The following is a 10,456-nucleotide window of genomic DNA, read 5'->3' as shown; positions in this document are numbered from 1 at the left end:
GAGGCAGAGGTGGCAGTGAGCTGAGATCATGCCATTGCACTCCAGCCTGGGCAACAGAGTGAGACTCTGTCTCAAAAAACAAACAAACAAACAAACAAACAAACAAAAAACCCTCTTTATACCACACAGAATAACAACATCTTGTATAGATTGTCTGGAGTGTACTTCCTTAAAAAAATCTGACTATTCTAGTTACTGTGGCTGCACAACGGATTACCACACAAAGTGGCATCAAACAACCATTGGTTATGCTCACAGATTTCTTCACTCAGGAATTTGGAGAGGACACAGTGGGGACTGCTTGTCTCTGCTCCATGGATGGCTGAAGCCTCACCTGGAAGATCCGAAGATGGGCGGCTGCAATCCTCTGAAGGGTCCCTCACTTATGCATCTAAAGGGTCCCTCACTTATGCATCTAAAGGTTAAAGCTGGCTGCTGGCTGTGAGCCTCAGGGGCACTCCTGGGGTCTCCCCATGGGGTCTCTTTATGTGGGTCTCTCTCTGTGCGAGTCTCCCTCTGTGTGGGTCTCTCCGTGTGGACAAGTTTGCATGTCCTTAAACCATGGCGAAGCAGCTGTCATCCTGCAGAGCAAGTATTATCCAAAGAGGGAGCCAGCTTGGAGCTGTATTATTTCCAGAACCTGCACTAGGAAGTCACATGGCATCACTTTTGCCATACCCTGTTGTCTGGAGCAGTCACTGGGTCACACCAGGATTCAACGGGAGGGGCCATAGAGCACCAATGAGTGAAAGCAGTGTTCGTCATGCTGTAAGCAAAAAGGGGGTGGAGTGACCGCTGTGGCTGTCCAGCACGTGTGTTCCCTGAGCACCTAGGGTTTGATCGGGTTTAGCCCTAGAACCTATATTTTCAGGGTGCTTTACAGGTGGCCAGATGCTAACCCTCACATCCCCCATCCCTCATTTCACAGAAGAATAAAGCTCTTAGAGGGCTGGAGAGTTACCTGAAGGTCACAGCAAAGCACCAGACACAACCCCAATGTTTAACTACAGAAACTGGTCAAAGAGGCGATGGCTCAGCCACATAATGTAATGGTAGGCAGCTATTGAATAAAATCAACTTTATGTTCAACAATGAGAAGATTACGAAGTTACAGTGTTTATTTTTTAAAAGATGTATAAAAATAAGGATGATGGCTACTCTTAGGGGCAGGTAGAATAACTGTGTGTGTGGGTGCACAAAGAGGGTTTCTGTGTGAGTGGTATGGCAGTAGTTGCCAGGGTATTCATCTTATAATAATCTATTATTTATAATTTATATACATGGTTAATTATTAATAAATTATAATTTATATAATTGTTAATTTAATAATAAATTAACAATTTATCAATTTTTTGGCATTCTGTATTTGTGTTATATTTAACTATAAAGAAATTTAAATTAGCTGGGTGCAGTGGCTCACACCAGCACTTTGGGAGGCCAAGGCAGGTGGATCACTTGAGGCCAGGAGTTCAAGACCAGACTGGACAACATGGTGAAACCCCGTCTCTACTAAAAATATAAAAATTAGCCAGGCATGGTGGCAGCCACCAGTAATCCCAGCTATTTGGAGGGCTGAGGCATGAGGATCATTTGAACCCGGGAGGTGGATGTAGCAGTGAGCCGAGATCACATCACTGCACTTCAGCCTGGATGACAGAGCGAGGCTCCATCTCAAATAAATAAATAAATAAAGTAAATAAAAATAAATAAAAAAGTTTTAAATTAAAAAAGACCAAAACAGTTTAGCAGATCCTCAAAAAACTGAACAAAACTATACTTTGACCTAGAATTTTACTCCCAGATTCCCTCCCCACCAAAATATGGAAAACAAATGTTCACATAAAAACTCGTACATGAATATTCATAGCAGCTCTATTCATGATAGTCAAAAAGGTGAAAACAGCCCAAATGTCCATCAATGGTTGAATGAATAAACAAAACGTGACAGGTCCGTACAGTGCAATATTACTCGGCCATGAAAAAGAATGAATGATCGACATGAGCTACAACGTGGATGAGCCTTGAAAACTTTAACCTGAGGGAAAGAAGCCAGTCAGAAAAGGATACATGCTATATGACTTCATTTACTTGGACCATCCAGAAGCATTAAATCCGCAGAGACGGGAATTAGATTGGCGGTTGCCAGGGGTGAGGGAATGGGGAGAGACTGCTTCATGAGGTAATGAAAAGGTTTTGAAACCAGGCAGAGGTGGTGATTGCACACTACTGTGAATGTCCCAAGTGCCGCTGAATTGTTCACTTTAAAATGGTTAATATTATTTTATTTAATTTCATCTGAAAAAAAAAAAGGGCCAAGTATGTTAAGAGCCCTACCATGGCAGAAGAGATCCTGATGGATAAGGAAAAGCAGTCACGAGCTGTCATTAATTGCCCTACGAAGCTGAAGGAATCTATCTCCAGCCTGACTGCCCTGCTGGGAGGTGGAACAGGTGCCTTCTCTGTGGGGGGATTGGGGGGCAGCCTCCCCAGTACCCACGGGCTTAGGCAATAGCTGCCTTTCCCTAATGCTTTGTCCTCCACAGACCCCACCCACATGGCCAGGGTCCTTGGCCTGCCACAGTTTCCTAGAGGACAGGACCCCAGGAAGGAAGGCAAGGTGGGAACAGTATTATTATTTGTTAGGATCTAGGGATTTCATCTGATTTGAGCCTTTCATTAAGAAGTCCACACGATCAATAGAAAAACAGCATTGGGTCCCAGGGAGTCCAAATTTTAGCTGTAGTCCATGGTAATAGACCCAAGGTGGAATGCCGTATCCCTGCAGACTGATCACATCTATTTTGTGAGACCTGGGGAGGTGTGGTGGGGAGAGGAAGCTGTGTGTGTATCTGTGTGTGTGTGGATGTGTGTTCCTAAGTGCATTGTATGGATGTGTCTATGTGTGTTTCTGTGTGTTCATGTGTATAAGTGTGTGTGCATGCATATGTGTCTATGTGTGTCTCTTACCGTGCTCGTGTGTCCATGTGTGTATGCCTGTGTATGCACATGTGTTCATGTGAGTGTGTGCATGCATGTGTATGTGTCTGTGTGTGCGCACACATTCGTGTGCACAAACTAACTAAGTAGGAAGCTTGAGGACAAACCTCAGGGTCTTATCATGCCCTGGAACATTTCATCCAGCTTCTTACTTGAGTTGCTACAAAGCCTCAGGGGAAGGCAGTTGAATGACCTTCCCGAGTCCCAGTAAGTCTTTCATTGTCCTTGACCAAAGGAATAAAAATGCAGCCCACCCAAATATTAACAGCATCTTTTTGTCATCTCAAACCAAACTGCTTTATAATAAAAAAGAACATTACTTTATTGTGTGCAGACCTCAAGTTATTCACTTTCATCCCTCAAAAATTTTTATATGCTCCTAACATATGGAAAGCGGGCATCAATGGCCCATAATCCTGTAAAATGAGAAATCATATATTTTCTGTCCTACAATAAAAAGGCTCAGCTCTGTGAGGAGAGTGGCGCAAGCTGGCTGCTTTTATTTTTAAGCCATCATGATGAAGGTCACTCATTTGCAGGTGGAGAAACATGATGACCCATGTCAGGGGAGTCAAGCTGAGAGGGGGCTGTGGCCTGTGGGGACAGGAGGGGTATTGAGCCTGTGGTCAGCAGGGTTTAATCCTGGACTTTCTCCAAAGCCCTGTCTGTGGTCCTTCCCTCTGGCTTCCCCCTCCTTCCCCTCTCTGGAGGCTTTGTCTCTCTGCACCCTGGTCCCCAGGCTGGCTCATTAACAAGCTGCCTCCTTCCCTGAAGACCAGTCTTGGGCTTTGTTGTTAAAGAATCTGACTTTCTTTCTTTTCTTTTCCTTTCTTCCTTCTTTCTTCTTTCTCCCTTCTCCCTTCCTTCCTTCTTTCTTTCTTTCTTTCTTTCTTTCTTTCTTTCTTTCTTTCTTTCTTTCTTCCTTCCTTCCTTCCTTCCTTCCTTCTCCTTTTTTTTTTCTAGATGGAGTCTCGCTCTGTTGTCCAGGCTGGAATGCGGTGGCACAATCTTGGCTTACTGCAACCTCCGCCTCCCAGGTTCAAGTTATTCTCCTGACTCAGCCTCCTGAGTAGCTGGGACTACAGGTGCCCATCACCACACCCAGCTAATTTTTGTATTTTTAGTAGAGATGGGGTTTCACCATGTTGGTCAGGATTGTCTCGAACTGCTGACCTCCAGTGATCCACCCACCTCGATTCCCCAAAGTGCTGGGATTACACGCGTGAGCCACTGCACCCGGCCTATTTCTTAAATAATGGAATAACATGGTGGATTAGTTTCCTAGGGCTGCTGTAACAAAGCACCCTGTGTGCTGTAAAACATCAGAAACGTATTTCCTCACCGTTCTGGAGGCCGCAAGTTAGAAATCCAGGTGTTGGCAGGCCAGTTTCCCTTGGCTTGTAGACACATCACTCCAATCCCTGCTCTGTCTTCATGTGATGTTCTCCCATTCTCCCAGGTATTTCTGTGTCTGTTTCTCTCTTCTTTTTCTTTCTTTTTTTTAGAATCTTTTTTTTTTTTTTCTGTTGAGACAGGGTCTCGCTCTGTTGCCCAGGCTGTTGGAGTGCAGTGGCATGAACATGGCTCACTGTAGCCTTGACCTCCTAGGGTTAAACAATCCTCCCATCTCAGCCTCCTGAGTAGCTAGGACCACAAGCACGCACGATTACACTCTAATAATTTCAAACATTTTTGTAGAGATGATGTTTCACTATGTTGCCCAGGATGGTCTCGAATTCCTGGGCTCAAGCCATCCTCCTGCCTTAGCCTCCCACAGTGCTGGGATCACAGGTATGAGTCCCCGCACCCAGCCTGTTTTTCTGTCTTCTTAGAAGAGCACCAGTCATTGGATTAGGAAGCACCCTAATCTAGGAGGACTTTATCCTAACATGATTATAACTGTGAAGATCCTGTTTCCACATAAGGTCACATTCTGAGGGTCTGAGTCTTTTGAGGCACTCACTTTTCAACTCGGTACACACAGTGATAGCTGTATAGATGGTGCATAAAGCAAAAATCATGCATGGTCAAAATGACCCTCGAAAACCCTTCAAAAAGGAGACAAAAGGTGCAGCTCTTTCTCTACGAGGGAAGAAATGCTTTCTCAGAGATGCTGGAAGACTCTCCTTACTCATCATTGGCCAGAACTGTGTCACATGTTTCCTCTGGATGAGTCATTGGCAAAAGGAATGAGACAGCCTTGCTTGGCTTGGTCCAATCATGATTCATTACCTGGGACTGGGAACATTATCACCTGTAACAAAATCAATGCAAGCAAAAAGCAATAAATGAACTGATGCTGCTGGGTAGACTGTTTGCCAAAATGGCCTCAATTCTCCCCCTTTCTGTATCCACGCTCCTTGCAATATGACTTTGCAGCTCCTTCATAAACACGTGGAGCCTATTTCAAAACTATGCACCTCTTAAATGTGAGGCATCCCTACAATGGGATATTACACATAGCCCTAAAAAGAAGGAAGCATTGATACATACCACAGTATGGATGCACCTTGAGAACATCATGCTAAGAGTGAAGAAAGCCAGACACAAAGGGCCTCCTATTCTATGATTCCGCTTATGTGAAATGTCCAGAATATGCAAATCCATAGAGACAGAAAGGAGATTTGTGGTTGCCAAGGTCTGTGGGGGAGAGCCGGGGGGATTGGGGAGTTTGGGGGTAATGACTAGAGGTGAAGGGTTTCTTTGGGGATAATGAGAAAGTTCCCAAGTTGACTGCGGTGGTGTATGCATAACACTCAATTTACTAAAATCTGTTGAATTGTATTCCTTAAATGAGGGAAATAGGTGGTATGTGAATTACACCTGATATAGTTTATGTCCCCACCCAAATCTCATCTTGAATTGTAGTTCCCATAATCCCCACGTGTTGTGGGAGGGACCAGGTGGAGATAATTTACTCATGGGGGCAGTTTCCCCCATCCTGTTCTCATGATAGTGAGTGAGTTCTCAGGAGATCTGATGGTTTTATAAGGGATGCTCCCTCAACTTCACTCTGCACTTCTCTTTGCCGCCACCATGTGAAGAAGGACATGTTTTCTTCCCCTTCTGTCATGGTTGTAAACTTCCTGAGGTCTCCCCATCCCTGCAGAACTGTAAGTCAAGTAAATCTCTTTCCTTTATAAATTACCCAGTCTCAGGTATGCCCTTAGAGCAGTGTGAGAAAGGACTAATACAACATCTTAATAAAGGTGTTGAAAAATAATCTACACCTCTTGTCTCAGAGCTGGCCTTGTGACTTGCTTTGTCCTAGAGGAGGGGGCAGAAGTGATGCTGTGTCTGTTCTGAGGCCTCCAGAAACCTTACACACCGCTGACATTTCTCAGACTCTGGGGGTTGTCATATGAACAAGCCCAGACTGGCCTGGGGACAATGACACATGGACCTAGTAACCCCATTTGCCCCAGCAGACAGCAAGTCACCCAGCAGGCATGTGAGTGAGCCCATCCTGGGTTACTCAGCCATCTCTCCAGATGACTGGACTGTGAGCAACCAGCCAAGATCCACCGAGCCACCCAACTGACCCATATTCTCAGGATCAATAATGAGCATGTGTTGCCGAGTCACTACACCTTGGGACAGCAGGTGACCCAGTGATAACTTACACAGCTACCATCCTAACTCTTGCTCAACAGCTTCATCCAGACATAACTCAGACATCACAGCTCATCTATTTCACCAATTCATCAATTTTAGAACCATTTTCATCACCCAAGAAGGAAGCTCAGTGCCTATGAACAGCCACTCCCTGTTTCTCCCTTCCCAGTCCCTGAAAACCATGAATCTACTTTCTGTCTCTCTGGATTTGCATGTCTTTGGCGGTTCATATAAATGGTGTCATTCAATATGTGGGTTTTTTTTTTTTTTTTTTTGGCGACTAGCTTCTTTCACTTAGTGTAATGCTTTCAAATTTCTTCCACATTGCAGCATAGCCTCATAACTTTTTATGGGTAGTATCAGTTATTTATTTGCTTCCTTATTCTCTATCTTTCTCTAGTAAAATTGAAGATCCATGACTTCAGGAGTTTGCTTGTTTTATTAATTGCAGCTTCTACCTTGCCTAGAACTGAACTTTGCACATAGAATGCTTCTCGAATGAATGAATGGGTGGATGAATGAATGAATGAATAGGAAAATCAGTTTGTTTCCCTCCTCCTATTAAAAACAATGTCGAATGACCAAAGAACCTGAACAGGCACTGAGTTAAAAGCTTGTCTGGGCCAGGGCATGTCTCGTTGCCACAGGGGGCAGGCCAGGGACTCAAATCCAGCTCAGTCCAGCTCCACCAGCTCTCTGCACTTTCATGAAGCCACGGGGACAACTGCTTCTTTCCCCAGCTTCACATATTTTGATTCCAGGCTTTTGCAAAGCAATGTTCTTTTTGCTGTTGCATACCAACAACAAAAAAATTCTTCTTTTTGCTTCTGGCAAAATTGACAAAATTGACAATGGAAGACAAAGGAAGTTTTCTTACTTGGTAAAGAAACTGGTTTTGCTTTAGGTGGGAAAGGTTTCCCCAGCTCCATTCCCTCTCGATGTGTGTTAACAGGGACGGGGGAGGCCTCACTCCCTACTGACTACCCGTGCATTTACTTTAATTCCAGGGTCCTGGGTGGGAATGAATTACAGGGTTATTTAAGCTTGTTTTGCCATAAGCCTTGACAAAGTCTTTCTTTTCACAAAAATGTCCTTCATTTTCAAAACTCTGTTTGGCAGTGGAGGGTGCAGCCTGTAATCCTTTTATGCTGTGGTGGTGTCTGTCCTCCACGTGACTAGAAACGTCTTTATTGGCAACATTTTGTCTGGGTAATGGGGGAAGAGAGAGAGACCCTGCCTCAAATCACCTGGATGAGACCCTGGTTGCAAGGGGTAGTCCTATCCAAACTAACGCTGAGGCCCTGGGCTTCGTGACAGCCCGTGGCACGTTCTCAGTTGTTTCTAGCATGTCTAGCAAACCTTTGGAGGTCAGAGCCTGTCTACTCAGGGGTGTTCACTTGGAGAAGGGCAAACACGTTGGGGAGAGTAATAATTTGCAGACCTCTGGAGAACCATTCGGTGCTCCAGAGCTGACACATCCCCCACGCTGTGACTCGCCAAGCCATTCTGTAATGGATGCACGTGGTGCACACCTATAAGAAGCATTTTCAGGCCTAGGGCCAAAAGAATATATCACAACGAAGAAAAATGGTGGCAAGATACATGGGCCAATAGCCGGTAATTCACCAGCGTTGAAATCATAGCCAGCCATTAAGGACTCTGTGAAGGAAGGAGAAGGGAATTCGAATTGTAGTGTGGTCTCTTAGCTAAGTGTCTCCGGGGCTGGCCCAGAGGTGTGAATGCCTTAAACCTCCCAGTAGCTTTGCCTGGTGGGTGGGACTCCTGTGGCCTAGCTGAGGACACTGAGATGAGGAAGAATTGGTGGAATTTAAAAAAAATACCTATTTCCATGTTTTCTTTGCATACAATACCTGCTTGCTGTAAAAACACAAACCATTAAAAATATATATATATCAAGTAGAAGCAAAGCCATTCCTCACCGCAGCCCACCAAGAGACAGCCACTGAGAGTTGCTTGTCATCTTCCTGGCACATATACATCAGTGTGTGTATAAAATGCATTATTGTTTTAACTCAAATGGGATTATAATCTTTATATTGTTATTCATCTAACTTGAAAAAAATCTTGGTATAACTAAATTTTTTACACCTACACAAAAGTAGAGAGAAGAGTATGATGATGTTCACCCACTGAGCTTTAACTCTTGTCAGTGTTCTGCCGAGCTACTTTTATCTGCCATATCTCACTTAAAAAATTTTTCTGTTTTGGAAATTGTTAGATACAAAGGTAGAGAGAAGTCTATCATGAGCTCTCCTGTGTTCCTCACTTAAGAACACAGTTTCAGCAGTTTTTATCATAGAGCCAACCCTAAACCCTTCCTGCTAAACCTCCACCCTTGGATTTTTTAAAAGGCAAATACAGGACGTGGCACAGTGGCTCACTATAATCCCTGTAGTCCCAGTGTTCTGGGAGGCTGAGGCATTCGAGACCAGCCTGGGCAACATAGCAAGACCCCATCTTCACAAAAGATAAATAAATTAGCTGGCGTGGTGGCATGCACTTGCAGTCCCAGCTACTTGGGAGGCTAAGGTGGGAGAATTGCTTGATCCTGGGAGTTTGAGGCTGCAGTGAGCTGTGATCATGCCACTGTACTCCAGCCTGAGTGACAGAGTGAGTCCCTGTCTCAAAAAAGAAAAAAAAAATCAAATCCTGTTTCACCCATAACTTTCTTTCTTTTTTTTTTTTTTTTGGCAACAGCTTTATTGAGATATAATTTATATATCACACATTTTACCCATTTAAAGTATACAATTCAATGGTTTTAAGCATATTCACAAAGCTATACAGTCATCACAATCAACGAACATTTCATCACCCTAGAAGGAAACCCCTTGCCCATTACCCCTTCCCCATTTCCCCTCTCCCAGCCCCTGGCAAGCGCTAATCTCCTGGATTTGCATATTCTTTATATTTTATATGAATGGAATTGTAAACTACGCAGCCTTTTGTGTCTGGCATCCCATATCTCACGTCTTCGAGGCTCATCCACATTGTGGCATGTACCAGTGCTTCATTTGTTTTTATGGCTGAGTCATGTTCTGTTGTATGGATACCCCACTTTTTGCTGATCCATTCATCAGTTGAAGGGCACTTGCGTTGTTTTCACTCTTTGGCTATTGTCAGTAATGCTGCTGTGAACTTTCGTGTACAGGCTTTTATGTGGATATATATTTTCATTTCCGTTGGGTTTATACCTAGGAGTGAAACTGCTGGGCCATATGGAAAACTTTTGAGGAACCGCTGGGCTGTTTTCCACAGCAGCAACAAACTGCATGTTACGTTTCCATTAAGCTGTGCGTGAGCATCCCAATTTCTCCAGATTCTCACCAACACTTGCTGGGATCTTTTAATTAATTTATTAATTATAGAGATGGTCTTACCATCTTGCCCAGGCTGGTCTCAAACTCCTGGGCTCAAGCGATCCTCTTGCCTTGGCATCCAAAAGTGCTGGGATTACAGGTGAGAGCCACCCCGCTGATATGTCTTTTCAAATAAAGTCATATTAGTGGGTATAACTTTCTTTTAAATTTATCGACTTATCATGGAAGTATTAATGGATCAGTATATATCCATATATACTCACATAGTCACCAGCTGCTTCCTAATCCATTATATGAATGTAGCATTCTGTCTTTATCCCTTTGGCTAAGCATTTACATCAGTCATTTCCCATTTTTCAGCATCACAAACAAGGTGACAATGAATTCCTAGACATCTACAGTTTTCTCAACCAGTGTTCCCAAGAGAATTACACTCTCTTGCCCTGAGCCATCCATTGTATGTAAGGAATGAACTTTTCTCCCAGGGGTCTAGAAAGGTGTTA

At 43.9% G+C, this 10,456-nt stretch overlaps 1 annotated feature.

The window, feature by feature from the left end:
* Positions 5,870 to 7,069: an enhancer, noted in NCBI's record as "CDK7 strongly-dependent group 2 enhancer chr12:129238411-129239610 (GRCh37/hg19 assembly coordinates)". NCBI's record gives its function as "activates an origin of replication core promoter dependent on BRD2, BRD4, P300/CBP, MED14 and CDK7 cofactors, with strong dependence on CDK7, by STARR-seq in HCT116 cells {active_cell/tissue: HCT116}" and the evidence as "EXISTENCE:reporter gene assay evidence [ECO:0000049][PMID:35650434]".

The sequence above is a fragment of the Homo sapiens genome, chromosome 12, assembly GCF_000001405.40.
Source record: "Homo sapiens chromosome 12, GRCh38.p14 Primary Assembly".
Lineage (NCBI taxonomy): Eukaryota > Metazoa > Chordata > Mammalia > Primates > Hominidae > Homo > Homo sapiens.
This window is presented reverse-complemented; position numbering and strand designations above follow the sequence as displayed.